The sequence below is a fragment of the Homo sapiens genome, chromosome 2, assembly GCF_000001405.40.
Source record: "Homo sapiens chromosome 2, GRCh38.p14 Primary Assembly".
Lineage (NCBI taxonomy): Eukaryota > Metazoa > Chordata > Mammalia > Primates > Hominidae > Homo > Homo sapiens.
The window spans coordinates 162329758-162350452 of NC_000002.12; the positions used below are offsets into that span (position 1 = coordinate 162329758).

At 37.0% G+C, this 20695-nt stretch overlaps 1 protein-coding gene across 14 annotated transcripts in view, besides 5 other annotated features; it reads left to right on the plus strand.

Annotated features, from left to right (window-relative positions):
• Positions 1 to 20695, plus strand: part of GCA (grancalcin) — a 56634-nt gene that overhangs the window by 10995 nt on the left and 24944 nt on the right. For 8 of the 14 annotated variants that reach the window (XM_006712398.5, XM_006712400.5, NM_001330268.1 and 5 more), the window contains one exon: positions 17821 to 17985. In XM_006712398.5, coding sequence (XP_006712461.1) covers positions 17821 to 17985 — 165 coding nt within the window. Of the gene's footprint in view, positions 1 to 14374; positions 14519 to 14610; positions 14840 to 17820; positions 17986 to 20695 lie in introns of those variants that run through there. The other 6 variants (XM_005246446.4, NM_012198.5, XM_017003767.2 and 3 more) reach the window with 3 other exon arrangements.
• Positions 13932 to 14161: an enhancer, noted in NCBI's record as "active region_16718". NCBI's record gives its function as "activates an Ori minimal core promoter by ATAC-STARR-seq in GM12878 lymphoblastoid cells {active_cell/tissue: GM12878}" and the evidence as "EXISTENCE:reporter gene assay evidence [ECO:0000049][PMID:35858748]".
• Positions 13932 to 14183: a biological region, named in NCBI's record as "ATAC-STARR-seq lymphoblastoid active region 16718".
• Positions 14014 to 14183: an enhancer, noted in NCBI's record as "experimental_55205 CRE fragment used in MPRA reporter constructs". NCBI's record gives its function as "activates a minimal promoter by MPRAs in K562 erythroleukemia cells, with activity observed for both the introgressed and non-introgressed 2:163200366 variant alleles {active_cell/tissue: K562}" and the evidence as "EXISTENCE:reporter gene assay evidence [ECO:0000049][PMID:34662402]".
• Positions 14212 to 14361: a silencer, noted in NCBI's record as "silent region_12063". NCBI's record gives its function as "represses an Ori minimal core promoter by ATAC-STARR-seq in GM12878 lymphoblastoid cells {active_cell/tissue: GM12878}" and the evidence as "EXISTENCE:reporter gene assay evidence [ECO:0000049][PMID:35858748]".
• Positions 14602 to 14681: a silencer, noted in NCBI's record as "silent region_12064". NCBI's record gives its function as "represses an Ori minimal core promoter by ATAC-STARR-seq in GM12878 lymphoblastoid cells {active_cell/tissue: GM12878}" and the evidence as "EXISTENCE:reporter gene assay evidence [ECO:0000049][PMID:35858748]".

Genomic DNA, 20695 nt, shown 5'->3' on the forward strand with positions numbered 1-20695 from the left:
TTGTACAGATTATTTCATCACCCAGATATTAAGCCTAGTACCCATTCGTTATTTTTCATGATCTTTTCCCTCCTCGCACCCTTCACTATCCAGTAGGCCACAGCGTGTGTCGTTCCCCCATGTGTTCTCATCATTTAGCTCCGACTTATAAGTGAGAACATGCAGTATTTGGTTTTTTGTTCCTGTGTTAGTTTGCTAAAAATAATGGCCTCTAGCTCCATCCACGTCCGTGCACAGGATATGATCTCATTCTTTTTTATGGCTGCATGGTTTTCAATGGTATATATGTACTATATTTTCTTTATCCAGTCTGTCACTGATGGGCATTTAGGTTGATTCCATATCTTTGCTATTGTGAATAGTGCTGCAATGAATGCATGCACACAGGTGTCTTTACAATAGAACAACTTTTATTCCTTTGGGTATATACCCAGTAATGGGATTGCTGGGTCAAATGGTATTTCTGTCTTTAGGTCTTGGAGGAATCACCACACTGTCTTCCACAATAGCTGAACTAATTTACACTCCCACCAACAGTATGTAAGCATTCCTTTTTCTCCGTAACCTTGCCAGCATGCGTTACTTTTTGACTTTTTAGTAATAGCCAATAATTTTGATTTTTAATAGTAAGGCAACGCTGCAGTAGGTCAAACCATTTTGTATGAATATTAAAATAAAAGAATGACCCAAAGGATGCTACAAACTTGCTTTCCAGTTGTTTTATGTACCTGAATACACACATTGGCCTTGACGAATATCTCCAATAGGTAGTGCTGATGTGGCCAATTCAGTCCCTTTTTGTGAGCCAAGTGACCACTTAGGAAGTTGTTCTGAACCTATGTCCAGATTAGACTTACATGGAAACCTGTGTAAAATTATCCATTGCCTCACAGTCTCCATGGTTAGAACTTTAGTGTCAGTTATTTTTCTTTTCAAACCCACTTGTAATTTCATTCTTCCATCAGAGGTGAGAACTAGGGATTAGGGCTTCTGTTAGCCTAGGGCCAACTGAGGATACCATCAATTCTCATTTTTGGTGGCAGTTATATTCTATAAAGTCACTATAAGCACTGAATTAGTGAATACTGAGCCATTGCTTCTAGAGAAAATGCAGGGTTAGGTTCCTATGAGCCCCAGTCACATTTTTGTCAACTGATCAATACATAACTTTGTTTTGAATGTATTTCTGTTTAAAGACATTTTATTTAGTATATATTGTTGATTCATCAACATTGAATTCACAACCAATTGCACTATGACTCATACCTGAACAAAGCTTACCTAACATACTTATTTTCTTTTGTGCTCAGGAGTATTAGACCGCACTTCAGCACTGTGCTGGGAGGCCATTTTAAACAGTGAAATCACTAACAAAGAACACAAAAATGTGAAAAATGTGGCACTAAATATACTACAAAAAGGATACTTATTTATAGTATAACAGCTGCAACAAGAAGGCAGAGCACTGCCTTGTTTGACCTCAGTTAGGAATCTGTGCATCAGGTGATTCAAATGTTTCACTGTTCTGCACTTTGCAAATGACTGTGAAAGGGCCACAAGTATTGATTATTTAGGGGTTACAAATAAGTATCAGCAAGTAACTGAATTCACACATATGAAACCCATGAATAGTGAGTATCAACTATCCTATGGTTTGAATTATTGTGTCCCCTTCAATATTTATGCTGAGATATCATCCCCAATGCAACAGTGTTAAGAGGTGGGGCCTTTAGGAGGAGGTTAGACCATGAGGGCTGTGGCCTAGTGGGCAGGATTAGCACCCTTTTAAAAGTGAGTGAGTTGAGCACATTTTGCCCTTCTGACCCACTATGTCAAGAAATAGCATTCATGGTGCCATCTTGGAAGCAGAGGCTGGGGACCTCACCAGATGCTGAACCTATCTGTACCCTTGATCTTGGACTTCCCATCCTTCAGAACTGTGAGGAAATAAATTTCTGTTCTTTATATTACCCAGTCTCAGGTATTTTGTTGTAGCAGAACTAACAGACTGAGACAAACTGTATATATATAGCTTGCTGGCCTGAGCAGGAGAATTTGGAAACTGGATTATGTTTTTTAGATATCTTCCTGAATCATTCATAATTCATTTTGGCTAAAGCTGTGATATAAGTGGACACATATTTTCAGCAATTTATGAAAGGACATGTAGTCTGGAACATTCATCTGCTAAATTCATTGGCCTGGGCATTGTCACATAATTGCTTAGAACAAATAAAACCTATTAGGCATTATATAAAATACACAACTTCTGCTGGGTGTGGTGGCTCACGCCTGTAATCCCAGCACTTTGGCAGGCCGAGGCAGGCAGATCATGAGGTCAGGAGATCGAGACCATCCTGGCTAACATGGTGAAACCCTGTCTCTACTAAAAATACAAAAAATTAGCCGAGCATGGTGGCGGGCACCTGTAGTCCCAGCTACTCGGGAGGCTGAGGCAGAAAAATGGCATGAACCCAGGAGGCGGAGCTTGCAGTGAGCCAAGATCGCATCACTGCACTCCAGCCTGGGCGACAGAGCAAGACTCCATCTCAAAAAAAAAAAAAAATATATATATATATATAATATATAATATTATTTATATATTATATGATATATAAATTATATAATATATATAAAAATATATAACTTCATGGCAGTAGCCCCCTGGACACTTTGGAGCATAAATCCTTAGCTAATATTTGGAAGAATCAAATTACATATGAATTCAACTGAAAAGTCCACAATGTCTTTAAACTGGAGACAAAGTAACAAGTGCAGGAAATCTGAATCAGAATTACTTCGAAGGATTTTTGCATAACTCATGCCTACTAACAAGGCCCATAGCAGGGCTTCAACTTGTGGTTCAGGAAAGAGAATGAGGGACTGAAGAAGGAAGTCCTAGATCATTGAAAAAACTGTCTTGCTTATAGTAACTGGAGTTTCTTATACTTTTACCAAAAAGGAAGAGGGAAGTTATGGAGAACATAAGGAAATTCAACTTCCACACAAAAATAATACACAGTCACATTTATTGCAAGTTTATCATGGCCTAGGTGACTAATATTTAAACTGAGAAGATTTAATGTGACTTAGTGATACATCCCTAAGATGTGATGGAGAGAGGCTCAATGGGTGGATCACTGGGCCCCATCTGTACTCCAAAAAGAGTACACTTTTTTTAAAAAGTTCATATTTTGTGATTATGCATTTTTGGAAAGGCGTTTGAAAGTCTCTGCTGGGGGATCAAAACATGACGTACAAAGAACTCTCACAAAAATAGAAATATGGTATCAGGGCTTTCTTAGACTGCCTCATATTTATATACACCCAAAAAGTTGCAAGATTAATTCAGAGCCAGCAGCTGCCTTTACCAACAGTTTTTCATAGAATCAAATGCTAAAAAAGTTGAGCAAGTTCTGGAACCTGTATACCATTTTGTTGAAGGTGGGAAAGGGACTTCAATTATATTATGCTAGTACTGTTATAAATGAAAGAATGGATGAGTAAAGCCAGTAACGAAGAGATGAGACACCTATTTATTAAGATCACAAATTATACCATATTTTATAATGTAAATGTATACTGCATATTAAAATACATTTTCTGATTATTCCTTAAATAATTAACTTTTTTTCCCTCTGAATTCCCAATAAATAGGCTGTGTGTTTCATTTATCTATCTGAGTATTTGTGTTGAGGGTATATAGATTTAGCAGCTTTGGGGAGCTTGCAGAGTCCCTCTTCATCCTTAGAACTCATTCAGAATTTTAGAACTTATTTAGCATAGATGATTTCATTTCATTCATCCTTTCTCCCTGAAAGGCAGTAAGAGTCTCAAGGGACATATTCATACTATGTGAGAGATTTTTAAATTATCAAGTGATTCAAATTATTTTGATACTACAAATAATCTATATAAAAATACTTTAAGATGAAGGATTTATGATTTTTAATAGAGAAAAATAAATAAGGCAGCATGCATGGACTGTGAGTGATCCCTGATAGACATCTCAGAAATGTTTCATTCATCTCAGGAACAGACTGCTTATGTGCTCACAAATGTGCTGCATGCTGTTAATTACCAATTAAGCATAATGTTAACATTTAATAATTGTGGAACACCCACAGTGAACCCTAGAGATAGCCTGAAACTTATCTCGAAAAAGGAATTCTGGAGGTTGACCAAAGTTCTCAGATGAGGCCAATTACTGCCTAAGGCTCATCTTATTCCCTGGAACCTTGATGATATGGTGTCTCCTTTGAAGAGGTGGCAGGGACAAAGCAGCCCAGGCCAAATCCTAGACATCGTCTTATCCATGCCTTTCTCAGAAAGGTGTAAGTGGGAAAGCCTTCCCTTGCTTCCTTCCTGAGACTTCTCCACACTGCGACTCACAGATGATGTTTCCTCTGCCGCCACCTTGTGGGGCTTTAACTGTGAGATCTTAACTGCATTGGAACAAATTAAGCTGATTCAGTTAAACAAAATTGTAACTATGTACAATTATAGATTTTTTTTTTTGCTGGTTAACAGAAAAGGGAGATAATCTATATTTCCCACTAGGGAGGTAAAATCATGGCTATAATTTCAACTTAAAAAACATGTTATAAAGGCAGAGAAGATAACCTTCTACTTCATTACCTCTACTGCTAATGTTCTCTCCAATCTTCAGAAAAAAATCATTTAAAATTAAGCTGCTCAGGGCCCAAGATACTTCTGCTACAGAATCAGGGAAAAGGGTATAAATATCTATAGGTAAGGGACAAGGTAACATGTATTGAGGATATTTATAGGGATCGTTTTCATGACTGTGCCTATGTTACACCTCCCTGCACCTTTCTTTTGTGATTCTATGGCATCCTGAGCTAACCTCTAGCCACAGCACTCATCTCACTTTGTTACAATTGCATTTTGACTTATCTGCCATTCCTAGTAAGCTATAAGCTTCACAAGGACAGGCAACATGTCTTCATTATTTTTGAATCCTCAATAGTAGTGTAGAGCTTGGCACACAGGAGGTACTCGATGCATATTTAGTGAATAAATGAACATCAAATGCCTACCATGTGCTAGGAGGTGTGAGGAAAACAAAGATCTAGACCTATGCTTTTCCTGAGCTTTCTATATGTTACCACATTTAATCTTCACAACTCCATGAGTTTATGAGTGGGCCTATTGTTTTCTCTCGCTCAGTATTCATTCCTTCTGTTTTTGGTAAAACTGCTCCTAGATTTTCTTCTGGAGAAACCACCCATTTCCTCATCCTCAAACTATCTTTGGGTAGGACTGACCCCTTTCCCAGCTATTGAGCTGGAGCCTTATTAGTTTAACCTACTCAACATATCCCACTCCCTAGCTATAGTGATTAAGTGTGAACACGGAACCCAATTAAAACCAGAGAAATCCTAGCACTTTGGGAGGCCAAGGTGGGTGGATCACTTGAGGTCAGGAGTTCAAGGCCACCCTGGCCAACACAGTGAAACCTCGTCTCTACTAAAAATACAAAAAAATTTAGCCAGACATGGTGGCAGGCACCTGTAATCCCAGCTACTGGGGAGGCTGAGGCAGGAGAATCTCTTGAACCCAGGAGGTGAAGGTTGCAGTGAGCTGAGATCACACCGCTGCACTCCAGCCTGGATGACAGAGTGAGACTCTGTCTCAAAAAAAAAAAAAAAAAAAGGACCAGAGAAATAAAAGTGGAGATTCCCTGTAGCTATTTGTAACAGTGAGTTAAGGTTGGGTTAAGGGTTGGGAGGGGGCATCCCTCTATGTCCTAAGAATGGAGGCAGAAGGGACAGCTGGAGAAATGTGGGTCCTTGGAGAAACTGTCTATATGCCAGATGAAACTTAATCTAAAGCTAGCCCAGGACTTTGAATTACATGAGCCAATAAATTCTCTTGTTTAGATATATTGAGTTGGATTTTCTGTCATAATATTAAGAGGACTTATTGATCTTCTAATAGGGAGTATCCCCATTTTGCAAAGGAGAAACTGAGATTTAAAGAAGTTGCATTATATATTCCAATGTCATACTGTCAACAAATGAACTTGGAGTCAATTGTCAACCCCTTCGTTATTTATTGCACAGTTTCTTCCAGAGTTAGCATGGATGATAATGACTAGAACCAATTAACCTAGTCTCTTGAAATCAGAATGTGTGTGTGAATTAATGAAATCAGTATTAACAAAGTTAAAAAAATAAAATGTTAATAAAGAGAAATTGTCCCAACTCTGACATTGGTATTAACTTATTATCTGCATAATGTGCTTAGCTGATAGGTAGTTTCCTACATGGATGTTTCCTACATATTAATGAGGGAAAATATCAAAATTTAAGAACTGAATATCAGCTGATTTTTTTTTGTTATTGTAATACTACGATAGACTTATAGGCTGAAGCTACATGTTTTGCTTAGTTAACAGTTGAAAGTTGAGTTCAATAATAATTTAGTTTTTCAAATTTATACATGAAAAGCTATATTTTAGGCAATGCTTTCCAAGGGAAATTAGTTTTGTTTCCTTCTAAACATGTATTTATTGATGTGTAGATTTATTTAAAATAATGTACAGAAAGATATTTCACATAGGAAATCAAATACATAATTATTTGATCTTTGTTATCTATATGCTCAAATGGTTTCTATGTCCTCACTCAGACATTTTTTGTATCTTCTTTTCATTTTATTTTTTTGATATCAGTAACAACCATTTTCTTAGACACTTTATGAGCAAACTCTAGCCTAAAGATTCTGTTGCTAGGTAACATCCTCCTTTCTCCTCCCATCTCCTCTCCCTTTCTTTTCTGCTGGTTGCCATAGTGCCTCTCTTAATGGGTGGCTCAAGTCCTTACTATAATCCTGGAAGTTGAATAAAAACCTAAGTATATCTCTCTCTCTCTTTCTGTCTTCTATATAGCCTAGTTGCTCAGTGAAATATTTGGATTTAATTAAGTATCAATTAATCATTCAGTATAATTACTCTATAAATATGTACTTTACAATTTATCTGGATTTTTGGTTTACCTTACAGAACAATTTCATGGGTTGAAACTCTAATTGAAGAGTTGTTTAATTTGGGCAGGGTTGGGAATTTAAGTTCTGGAATTTCATTTGGATTTAATTAAATACAGATTAATCATTCAATATAATTACTCTATAAATATCTATTTTATGCAATTTATCTGGATTTTTGGTTTACCTTACAGAACAATTTCATGGGTTGAAACGCTAACTGAGATTTGTTTAATTTGAGCAGGGTTGGGAATTTAAGTTCTGGAATTTCTTTTTCTTCAGAGTGCTTGACATTTTCCACCTGCCCATAAAGATCTACTTTTCACTCTTCTCTACATTGCTCTGTGCCAGGGAGCCTAACCTCTGTGGACTGCGTCAATGAGCTCTCTTTTCCTCTAGCTTCTGATCAGATTCAGCCAATGGAAGCAATAGCAGGAAAGCAGAGGTAGGGAGAAGAGTGAGGTTTTGGTATTTATTCCCTAGGCTAATCTTAATGCAGGTCATGGTGCATCCGTGTGCTAAAAGTCATGTGTCAGGGGACCCTCTTCATACAATAATTCTATCCATGTTTTGATAACTGCTTTCTTGCCTCGCACCTTCTGCCTAAGGGTGGTAATGGGTCCTCAACACTGCTTGCACTGGGACGCTGTATCAGGCCTGATTGGTTTATCTTACCTATGTCAACACTTTTGTAAATAGTGACTTTATTACAATCCCTCAATTACTGTGTCTGAATGTGCCATCTGCTTTTTTCTGGTGGAAGTGGCAGCAGCAGCAACTGAGCTTTATGGCTAAAAGACAGAAAACAAGGAAAGCGTTTAAGGTAAGGTGAGCTGAGAAGATCTTGGGTGGTGCATTAATTGGGCTCATTATACCCACCCATAACTGATCATGGGTCGTCATCTACATTAGTACCTATCACAATTCTTACCCCTCTTTGTACCAGGAGAGTACTAAGTTTTTTTCTCTTTCTTTTACTTCAGTTCCTAATTTTGGATAACTCAAGCAATGAAGTGTTTTATAGCTTGATTCTTAGGTTTTAAGTAACATTAAAGGCTCTAAGAATGGGACTTTATTCTCTCACACTCATTCAAAACTACACAAGCACTGGTGATTGTGTAGTGAAAGGTGACAGCACAACAGTGAACATTATGATCGGGGTCTCCTGTTTTCAGCTTTCAGATTTTGTGTGCTATTTCCTGAACATGAAAAATAATCAGTTCATGTTTTATTTTAAAAATATTTTGCAACTGCTTTGATCTGTGTCTACATCCACAATGCAAGTTATTACTACGTTTCCTCTGAAGATGTAATTGGTGCTACTTATTTCACAAGATTGTTGTGAAAGTCAAATGTGATAATGTGCAAAATAGCTGTGAAAAATATCAAGTGTTATATAAAAGAATAAATTGTAATTTTTAAATTTTTATTACCAGGTTTTATTTCCACCAATAATTGTACATAAATATGAAGGGGGGCACTCTTATTTTACACATACACAAAACACCTGAGGATTAATGTGGAAATGAGATGATCTCAGCTTTTAGTTGGCCAAGAATATATTTAAGAATTGGGCCACTTTTATGTTTTTGATGAAACGATTTTTAATTTTTTGTAACAGGACTACTCTAACTTAACTGACACTACACAGAAGCGAGTTACTAACCAATGGGATAAGCATCAACATAAAAGAATTTAACTGACATATTTAATTTATATATTTCTAGAGAGTCAGCTTTGTGGGTGTATCAAACCCATGTTATTACAGAAGCGGGTTACTAACCAGTGGGATAAACACCAACATAACAGAATTTAACTGACATATTTAATTTATATATTTCTAGAAAGGCAGCTTTGTGGGTATATCATCCCATGTTATCTAGGTAGAATCTAAATGATATTCATAAGCACGCAACTTGGATTTAAAATTTAAGGTAGGTATTTTTCTGATCTTACCTGAAAAGCAGATGACTTTATTGAGGATTTTAATCATACTGTTGCTGTTCTTATTCAGCATTAGTTGTGGACACATACTGTGATCAACATTATCTACATATATATAATTTCTCAAGAAGTTTTCATTGAGTCCAAATTGCTTAATAGACTTAATAATCAAAGTGAGGATGTATATATGCAGAAAGTATACCAATCATCACCTTTCTGAAGAGCCTTGTTAACAATTTTATGCTAAAATGCACTATTATTAAATTGCTTTAGAGTTTGTACTCCTGCCAAAAGAGTACTAGTATTTTCAGAATTAAAAACAGAAAACTGTGTTATTGAGAGCTTAGCTGAAGAAAGGTCAGTTTGCCAAGTGGCTGCTTGAGGTAATAAATGGTAAATAATATTTATTTTTGTCTTATTTGGCATGCTTATTATTTTTCTTCTGTCCTCACTGGTGGGCAGTAACCCTTAGAAAGATACTGAAAGGAACAACTTCGGGCTTAAAATAAAATTATGACTGGATGGCTTCACTTGATAGTGTCATATTTTTATGTCTTATGCAAATAACACATATATATCTTCATTATTCCATATTAAAAAAATGAATAATTTCTGGAAAAGTATGATAATTATTGCATGTAGATCAATTAAGGAAATCTATGTTAAGGAATATTGGAAATCCAATTAAGGAATACATTTTAGCATAAAATAGATAAATACTAGGGTAGATCAATGTGACAGAACAACAGTGAACATTATGATCAAGTGTCTCTTTTTTCAACTTTCAGATTTTGTGTGCTATGAATGAAATGCTTCCCTCTCCAAATTTGCATGCTGCAACCCCAACCACCAATGGGATGATATTTGGAGATAGATCTTTAGGAGACAATTCAGTTAGGTGAGGTCATGAGAGTGGGGTCCTCATGATGGGAATTGTGCCCTTATAAAAAGAGACCCCAGAAAGTTTGCCCCCTCTCTGGCTATCCTCATGCACCAAGCAAAGGTCATGTGAGGACACAGGGAGAAGGCAGCCATCTGTAACCAAGGAGAGAGGCCTCACCAGGCACTGACCTTGTGGGCAGCTTGATCTTGGACTTCTAGTCTTCAGAACTGTATGAAATAAATTCCTTTTGTTTAAGCCACACAGCCTATGGTATTTTGTTATGGCAGCCTGAGCTAACAGACACTGTGTACGTACTTTCTTAAGTGTTATATGGATTTAGAAGTCGTCAGAATTATTTTCCATATGCAATTGGCTATACCTTTAATCCTCTAAGTCATAAAACTATTTATATTATTAATTAATTTTTATAATCAATGATGCCCAAAGAGGCCTTAATTTCTTAGTCCCCTTTCACTTTCATTATCAGCATCAGCAATTTGTTAGGGCCATTTTGGAGGAATCCTCCCTCTCTAAAAATAAATTCTTTGCCACTTGTCATCAGTGTATCAATTGGAGAAAGGTCTGTTAAGATGCAAATGCTGAGTGGTTGGTAGGCACCCTCACCAGAAGCTGTTCACTCTAGGCAACCTCTTAGATAAACAGCCTGACATAGTCACTTAGTATCACAGGCGTCTCAAATTTAACATCTCCAATATTAATTCTTGATTTGGCACTATCCCAAACTGCTCCTTCCCCAGTCTTCACCATGTAATTTAAGGGCAAATCCAAAACACCAGTAAACCCTGCTGGCTATACCTTAAAAACAGAATAATCATCTCACTACTTCTCACCATCTCAACTGCTATACCCTAGTAGGTCACCATCATCTCTAGATTACCAACAGATTGCTAACAGATCTTGTTTCTACACTAACCTCCTTCTGTCTGTTGTCAACAGCTGAAAGAGTGAGCCTTCCTAAATCGTATCATGTCCCACTTAGATTTCAAACTCTTCGGTGGCTCCGTATCACAACCAGAGTATAAAAGCAAGTACTTAAAATGGTCTGTGAAGCCCTGCATGATCTGCTCCAATGTCCCCGCTTCTGCAACCACTTCCACTACTCTCCCTCTTGCTCAATCTATTCCAGGCTCACTGGCCTCCTTGTTATTCTTCAAATAGGTCAGGCAGGGTTTTGCTTTAGGACCTTAACTCTAGTTCTTCATGGAAATGTCTTCCTACAGATACCTCCAGAATGTCTAACTCATTCATGACCTCTAAGTTTTTGCTCAAATCTTGCCTTTTCAATAAAGCTACCCAAGTACTCCATTTAGAGCTACAACCTACTCTGTCATCTCCCTACCCCTTAACCTTGACTTAGGTTTCCTTATTTTTCAATAGCATTTATCATCTTCTCACATGGTTTATAATTTACTTACTCATCATTTTTACTTACTATTGTCTGTTCTCCCTGCTAGAATGTAAGCTCCAAAAAAGCAAGGACATTCCTCCCCTCCTATTGATGTATGTTTTCCACATCTAAAATAGTGTTACATTATACATGCTCAATAAATAATTATTGAGTAAATGAATTGTTCTATCTAAATGAAATTTCTTAGTGATATAAAATAAACTCCATTAATGTTGGTTTCCATTAGCTGGTATGTCTTATTTATTTTATATATATATATATATATATATATATATATATGATTTATATGAGGCAAGTAGGCTCTGGGTTTGTGATTGAAATTTGCTGAGGAGCTGTGACTCTTTTCTCTCCCTCATTCATATAGTGGGAAAGAGAAAATGAGGTGGCAACAGATAGGAAAAAGAACTGCAGTTAATTTATTGTTTACATTTTACTGGTAAATGTGCTGGTTAATTGAATATCTAAACTTATGATAAGACCAATGCCACCAAGATTCAGAAGAAATTCCATAGTTAGACATAATCCTGTAAGCTTTATAGTCACCAGAAAGGATGTACCCTGTGTAAGAGAAGTAATTAAATTGGCTAATCTTGGTCAAAACAATGTGTTTCCTTGGCTATTTCTCTAGTTATATTTTCTACTGCCATTTAAAAACTTTTAAAGCCTTTTTTCTTTTATGGTGTAAACAATTTTATTATATTCTGAAATACAGCACTATGGTTGGGGATGGAGAGAAAAGGGGACATACAATGTTTAAGAAACCACATTCTGCAGCCATACTCTCAGATTTGCTAGTCACTATGCAACTGCATTTGTGGGTAGTGAAATACAATTATCCACCTTACTTTTCACATTTGTAAAGTGGGAATAATAACATATACCTGATGGAGTTGTTTTGAGAAATAACACTTCACAACACACAATGCCTAGTACGTCGTATTCACTCTATAACTATTTTTATAAAGTAAAGAAGGATTTTATTAAAAGAAAAATATTTAAAAAGCAAATTTTTTAAATAGACATGACATTTTCATAAAATGCTATTGTTCATACAGTATTAACTTGACTCATGGAGGCAAATTAACATTACTGTTATTTAAAAAAAACTCTATGGCCTTATTTGAATTTTTATACTAGAATATTTAAAATTTGAAACACTAGTTTTAGAGAGAGAGATGCTGTGTTGTTCAAAGTCCTCCTCTGCATCTTCATGGTAGGAACTTTCTTTGGTAGCCCTTTCTCTAAGTTAAGAGATATATTGGCAGGAACTATGAAGGATCTGATATTTTACCCTAGTTATAAGCAAACAAGTAGAGTGCCACAGTTTCATGGAAGTTGGCAGAATGTGTGAGATTCCTGAGTCTGAGACAAATAACTTTATTACTCAAAGCACAACAGGCACCATGAGCTTCATACTTCCATAGATTCCCCTCGTTCTGAAGTCCCACAAGGCGAAGAGGAGCTGCCAGATGGGTGTTGTACATGCACTGTGTTTGTTATGCAACTGGAAGAACTCCAAGCTTAGGAAAGTCCTAAGAAGGCTGCTAGCAAACGTACCCAAACTTTGCCCTGGCAGGAAATACTATCTTTGCAATTAAATGTGCAGAAAGGCAAGAAACCCATGGGGCCTTAACTCCCAACTGCACAAATGCAGCTGCATCAATAAGGCTATTTTGATGAAAACAAGATGCACAAAAATTTTGACCACAGAATCAGACTAACATTGTAAATGTAAACACTCAATCCTTCCTAAGCAGTTCTTTGAATATGTAGTTAATCCGTTGGAATAAAATTTTGCAATGGTTTGTTCTTTCTAGCGCTTTATCATTTGATACCTTCATAAGCCATGCATTTTTCCCTTTTGCCACGTAGGTTTTACCCTTCCCCTCTATTTATTTATGCCAATAATTTAACCTTAGTGGCTTAAGTATTTCTTACAGCATTGAAGGAACTTACAGACACTTTCCCAAGAGTAGCTAGGACATCGGCAATCTTCCTTTCTCTCTGCTGTTTCCTCTGAGAATTGTTTCACAAGGTCCAACATCCTCTTCTGTAGCATAGCTGAACAACAGATACTCAGCTCTGCAAGGCTGATTTCCTTTGTGAATAGTTAACATTTTTTTGATAGCCTTATTTTTAAGAAACATGTTAGCCCTTCTCTTGTTCTTCAGAGATAACTCAAAATAATATCATTTGGTTTTTTCATTTGTTCATAAGCCAAAGCTACAGCTGCCTTGTCCTTTTAAAGTCAGAGCTACAAAATTCATTTGAGTTCCAGAGATAAATCAGACTTGTCCATTGCTATTACTTAATAAGCCAAAGTAATTGAACATTTAACAAGAGTTTGCCCAAAGGCTGAGTCAGATTATATACAGGACACCGTCTATATTATCAGTGTATAAACAGCAAATAAGTTTTTAGTGTATGTTCACGTCCTGTGCAATATTTGGGACATACTTACACTAAAAAAGTTTATTTGGAAATCAACTTTAACTAGATATCCTGTTTATTTGCCAACATGCCACAATTCAGGTCACCATTTATCTACCAAACAGAATCAATAACCTGTTCGTCCAATGTGGCCTCAAGTGGGTTTTGGCGCAGAAGCACTCCTCCTGGACCACAGGTGTGGTCCTGGTTGCAAAGTTTTGATGTGACATCAACACTACACAAAAGTAAATGTAACTGCAAAATTTTGAAATTCACAGATGGGTCTTTGAAGTCCAGCTCAAAAGCGTGGAGGGCTGGTTAAAATAAGTCACAGACTTGCCGGTTTGGGGTTTCTAGAAAGAAAAGTAACTTGAGGAGTTGAAGGCTTGTAGAAGACCTTTCCACAGAGAGTGGGAATTCCGTTGCAGCAGCCAAGGCTTCTTCGGGATTTAGAAGGAGAGCGCGCGAGAACCTGAGGGAGCCAGTAAGAGTCGAGCAGGGACTGGAGGGCTCCCGATGGGGTGTAGCCAATCAGGGCAGAGATGGGTGGGGCTAGGCTGCGGGAAGGGGCGGACTGCAGCTGAGTTGGCTCCAAAGTGTGGGACTCAGCCAATCGGAACCGTGCAGGGCGGGGCTGGCCTGCGGAAGGGGGCGGGTTCGGAGGAGTGAACTGTGCGGTTAGTGCGCCTTTCAGCCTCACCTGCAGCTGCGCCTCCTTGCACCTGCGCCTGTGCTTTTTCTCCCAGCACTGCGGACGCGACTCGAGGGTGACGCTCGCTCCGCTCGTCCCGCTCGTCATGGCCTACCCGGGATACGGAGGAGGGGTGAGTCCCAGCCGCTTGGTCGTGTCCCTCTTCCTCGCGGGGTGTGGCGCCCCCGGGGGCGGTGCCAACGTGCGGGTCCGCCCTTGGCTCCTGCTCCCTGCGTCCGCGCCTGGTACTCGGCGGCGCCGGATTCCGGGGCTGTTGGGGGCCAGGGCCTGGGCGAGCATTGATCCTGGGCTGACTTGGAGCCGCAGGTTTTCTGGTCGTTGAGGACCCTCGAGGAGCGTCCTGGTGGAGCCGAGGGAGTAATGTGTGTTTGGAAATTTATTTCCTGGAATGGAGGAACAAGCCACCCTCTTCTTGTTCCAGTAATCGTTTGTGGTACTTCCCTCCCCCGCCCCCCACTCAGTGTTGCTAGAGATCCTCTTTTTGAATTTCCTGACCACTTCTTGTTCTTTAAGTTCCTTATGAATAAATTAAGGTGTACGGTAAATAACTCCTAATCTTTACTGTTATACGAAGGGCAATCTGTTCTAGACTCCCCCGCTCGCCCCCAGGCGGGGGGAAGTTACTCTTTGTTATAACTTTTATCCTGCATCACCTTTGGGAGTTGCAAGTTATAATCGTAGAGTCCTGGTGGCTAGCCCCTTCTTTTCAGAAAGGAGCCCAAACCTTTAGTATCGATGTCAGTGATCTACACGCTGTGTTAACAGAGTTAACAGTAGTTTGATCCATTGCGGTGTGGGTAGAATATAATATATTTTCTATTTGTTTTTTACCTAAAAAGAGAAATTGTGTTTTACTGATTTTAATATAGGACTTGACTTTGGGCTATGGTTGTGGTCTTCAAAAGAGTTACTCCTACCCCTTGGAGTTCATGGTGGTGGTGGTGGTGGTGGTGGTGGTGGTGGTGGTGGTGGTTGTGGTTGTGGTTGTTGTTGTTGTTTTAGGATATGAATTTCCAGGTCCTCAACTTCCACACATACTTGTTCCTAAAATTGATTTGCTTTCCTTAAGACTTGCCTCAATCCCCTCTGGCACCGTCCACTTTGTAATGCCTATGCCTCCTCAGTCCTTAAATTTAGGAAGGAAGTTTAAGGTACCTAAGGAAAGTAAAGCCCCTTCGAAGATTAATCAAGATAGCATAAACCTGTGGGTCTTTAAAAACGTCCCTAGCGTATACGTATTTTCATTTGGTTGAAGCTATCTGTTAGAAGTTTGTATATTTACTCCTCTTGGTATGCTCTGAATTCATATATGTATGGTAGAGTGAGGTGGCAAGAGTAATACATTTTCATTCAAATAATTTGGTGCTTCCTTACCCACTTTTGTCAGAGTGCTTGAATTTGATGGAGAGTTCCACGACACAATAAAGAGAACGTCTGTATGTGTTTTGAATATTTAAATCCCCTTTTCCATGAATTTAAAATAAACAACTCTTTTCAGCTGTTGTCATGCTCATTATTAATCGCCGGAAAGAGAAGTACCCTCAATAGCTGAAGCAATATATAGATTAGAGGCACTGATTTTAAAAAATGTAATTGAAATATTTTAAGATACATTGGATAAAATTTTGGGATAAAACTTACATGATTTCTTTAGTAGGAGAATATTAATAAGATAGTTGAGACGTTTATAAATCCTGTTAAAGGAAACCCATGCCTTATTAATGTTTCTTATATTCTTTTAACAAAATATAAAATGTCAGCTGCTAGACCTAATTGTTTTGATAGTATACTTTTATCTAATTAAGTGCATGATTTATCTCTGTAGGAGATGCATTTCCAATAGATTTTTACTTTCTTCTTTTAAGAATTGTTTATAAAAATTGTATTATTTTCTTTTTTTTACTAATTGTATACGAATAAAAATTATAACTCAATGTAAAGGACTTTTTTCTTTGTTTCTCACTTTGGTCACAGGAAATGAAACAATCTAAAACTTCGTTACATGTTTTTGTTTGTACATGTTGTATTATACAAGCTTCAGTGTTTTCAATAATAAAAAAACATTTTAAGCACAGAAAACTTAAACAGATTAGATTTTCACACAAGAAATAGCATACAAAATCAATTCAAAGATGAAGAATCTGTCCTTAGGAATAACTTTTAATCTGTTTTCCCTTCCCAATTTGCAGCATTAGCTTTCCCCAGTCCCATAATTTGAGAACCTGGTGGTCAGATTAATGATGGTTACCAATTCTTTACCACTCCCCTTATCGAAAGGCACAGACTATTTCTCCACTTTCTTCAATCTGGATTGGGCCTGTTTCACCTTCATCTGGTAGAATACAGTAGAAAAGACACCATGGCAGTTCCAGACTCAATATTTTAAGAGGACTGGCAGCTTCTCTTTCTCTCTCTTAGAAGCTGACTGCCAAGCTATGAAAAAGTGGAAGAGCCATGTGAAAGGGCCCATGTGGAGGAGAACTGGGGCCCCTGGCCAACAAGGTTCATCCCTAAACACGGTTTACATAAATTTATATTTCAAGTTGTCCTCTTGACAGTTTCAAATGAGTCAAAATTGATCATTATTATTATTACTACATAATGTGGGTAAGGAAAGGCTTAGACAATATTTTCATGTCCAAGCCTTTCATGTTGCTTTGCATGTTTTTGAATCTTTACTATTGCCATTTTGTTATGGCTTTAGTTAAAACTAGATCACATAATCTGTAACATCAGAGAATCCCACATATATAAACTGTAATAAGTCACAATAGGCTGAAAAGAAACAAGTGGGAGGCCAGCATACAGAACTCTATGTCATCCCTCAGGATACTACCAGAACCACAGCAGTTTCTTTAAACATTTTGCTTCCCGCCCCTTAAAAGATTTTTGAAAAACTATATACCCTTTTCCCATATTTTATATTGACATATAAAGTTTTTATTTTAAGTTTAAATAGTTGTAAAGAATACAATACCCAACATATTGTAAATGTTGACACTTAAAGTTTCATTGTATTTACACATATATTCTTCTAAGTATGTGTCTTGAGGTTTACTTCTTAGTTTTACTTTAGGTAAAATCTTGCATTGTTTTACTTTTTGTTTACTTCAGTGATGTTGGTAAACATTTTTTAAAATTGTACATGTTCCTCTTAGATTAAGTTCTTAGAGGCTAGTAACTTTCTTTTTTCTTTTATACTTCTTTTAATGCTGGGTAATATATGTTGATGAATTGAATTATGTCTTAATGTAGGACATCTAACATTTTGTAGTTAAAATTTTTGTGATAAGATTATAAGCTTTTGGTAACTGTTTACTTTTTGACGGACTTCTAATAATTTCTTTTAATCCAACTTTCATAGATAATAGGTAGTATTTATATTACTAACCTTCTCCCCTTTCACTATTATAGTTTGGAAATTTTAGCATTCAGGTGCCAGGAATGCAGATGGGACAGCCAGTGCCAGAAACAGGCCCAGCTATACTCCTCGATGGATACTCTGGGCCAGCATATTCAGACACTTATTCCTCAGCTGGTGACTCCGTGTATACTTACTTCAGTGCTGTTGCTGGACAGGTGAGATGCTAAATTTATTGCATAAATATGTCTTTAAAATTATTGTTTAAGAGAAATGTCAGCTATTTAGAGTATCATTTTAAATGTATATGAAATTTATATTTTATATGTATCTAGACTAATTTTTTTCCTGAGATCAGAGATGAGCATAGTCATAATTATTTCATTTTAAAAGTCTGTTGATGTGATGCTTGATACATTGTTCATTTGACTAAAAGAGGAAACATTGTTTTCCATAGTGCGGAAATCTGATTCTTTCTTACCTAGTATGCTTGCGTTACTGAAATTCTTCTACAAGGGGCTCCTCTTACTAGTCACTAAACACCCCACCAAAACTTAGATATATCTTCTTATGAGTTATAATTTTTCTGTCACTTAAATCTTTTTATTTCCTTCACTCTGTTTGACATTTAGGAGCATCATACTCTCCCTGAGTGATAGATAACACAAAGCTAAGTAGGTTTAGCCTGCACATTCTTTTATAGCATGCAAAAATGACTATTGGAAATTTTAGGAAAGTAGGAAGCACTTTAAAAAATTATAAGGAACAATATTTCTAACTTGGGCCTCACTCCCATTTTTTAAAAAAAACTCAGTTAAAACCTAAGTATGTCAAACAATATGATTGGAAATCACTTCAGAGTCTCGTAAATTTATTCAGGTTGAGAAATTACATTTTTTTCACAGGTGAAGTTATATCATTTATAGTAATTTTGATTTGATATGGCTGGTAAATTTTCCAGGTTATCAAAATAATCATGTCAGGATTTATTAATTAAAAATTAAAGGAAATAGTATGTTACGATGTGGTATGGTTTTAGGATGTTATTTGTTTCCAGTAAATTTGAGTGATTATTTAAAGGACTGACTTTATTATGACCAATAGGGACGTGTGAAACTGCCAGTTCAAGTACATGAATTCTGTGGGTGAATTGTTACTGATGATATGTGAATACTGTGGTCAACGGAAGCTTTTCTTTTACTCCTACATAACTGTAACACCATACCACAGTTTATTCTTTTCCAAGTGATTTTATATATATTTTTCATGTGAAATTTCAAGGAAAATTAAGCAAATAGGATATGTATTATACCCCTTTGTATCAGTTATTAGTTGTATTTGACAGAAGTATTGAGTAAATATTCAAGATCGGAAGGAATACAATATTATAAGATGCCAATGTCTTCCAAATTAATTGATAAATAATATAATATTATATGAGTCAAATTCCTAAAGGTTTCTTTTTCTTTTTTCTTTTTGGCACTTGCTGCAATGATTCTAAAGTCTGTCTTGTATACTATGTTGTTGAGAATAAATATTAAATTATAATATATCATATAAATGTATTATTAATAATTGTGATAGTGTGGTCCTAATGTAAAAACAAACATAATACTGAAGAGCCCAGAAGCTTACCTGTGAATTCAGTATATGGTAGAGGTAGCATTTCATATCAGTGGGGAAAGAATGATTCCTGAATTAACTATCCTGAAATAATTAACAGTTTATCTAAAAGTAAATGTAAATCTTCAGCCTGTACCATATAGTAGCATGAATTCCAGATATATTAAAGGATTGAAAAGAGGGTGTATTGATGTTTATCTCCTGTTGTTGAAATAAATGAGCTTGTCTTTTTTTTTTTGCTGCTGCTTCAGCATGTATTGCAGCACCTGCTATATTTGTGTTTTTGTCTACAAAACTTCTTAGAAGAGTGATGAACTAAGATAGTTGCATGTGTTAATGAAACATTTGGGAACATCTTTTTAAGATGTGTGTTTTTTTTTCTTGATATGTTTCATTCACTTGTTTAACAATTTGGGGGGAAAGTTGAAAGCTCTTCTGTGGTTATGGAATACAGTGGATTGGTGCATGGAGACTGGGGGCCAGAGAGGATTTGGAAAAAGAGATCTACATGAAAATCATCTTGAAGGAGTTGGGGCAATGTATCAAAGAGGAGATTTGTAAATTGTGGATGGTTCTGGGACAGGCTCGATGATAAAACAGATTAGGAAAAGGCAAAGAAACTGGCAGAATGGATGTTCTAATACCATACTAATGGGCAGAAACAGAAATTCACTCTAGAGTCTTAGCTGTAGTCCATATCTCTTTTCTTTTATAATGGTCAAGAAAGATTTATTGATGTAGGTAGAATTTTATAGAACTTTAATAACATTTTATTCATTCCCTTGAGTGTTCACTAGGTCTAATGTGCTTTTCTAGGATTAGACAATATACACAGAATTAATATACGTGGCAGACATTCTGTTTTGGCTACCCCAATTTCATTTAAAACCCCCTTTTACCTTTTATTATGTAATAGAGGCTGGGGAACTATAATAGTCACCATCCCAGATACCTTTGTAGCTATTAAAGGCAGCCATGTGCCGTAGGACTGACCATTGACATGTAGGTGCAGTATCTTTGGAAAATCTTTCTACCCCAAATGAAAAAAGCCTTACTGGGAGCAAGCCTTGGCTGTGGCTGTTTTTGCCCCTTCATTCTTCCTGCCTGGAAAGGGGACTTGAGGTATGGAGGTGCAGTAGCCATCTCGTGACCCTGAGACAACAGGCTTGAGATAAAGACCTATAGATAGGGAATGTGGAAAAATGTAGAGACTGATGACATGTCTAAGTTGCCATACAGCCCTGTTCTGCCTAGCCTCAGACCTATTGTATGAAACAATAAACCCCTATTGGTTTAAGCATCTTC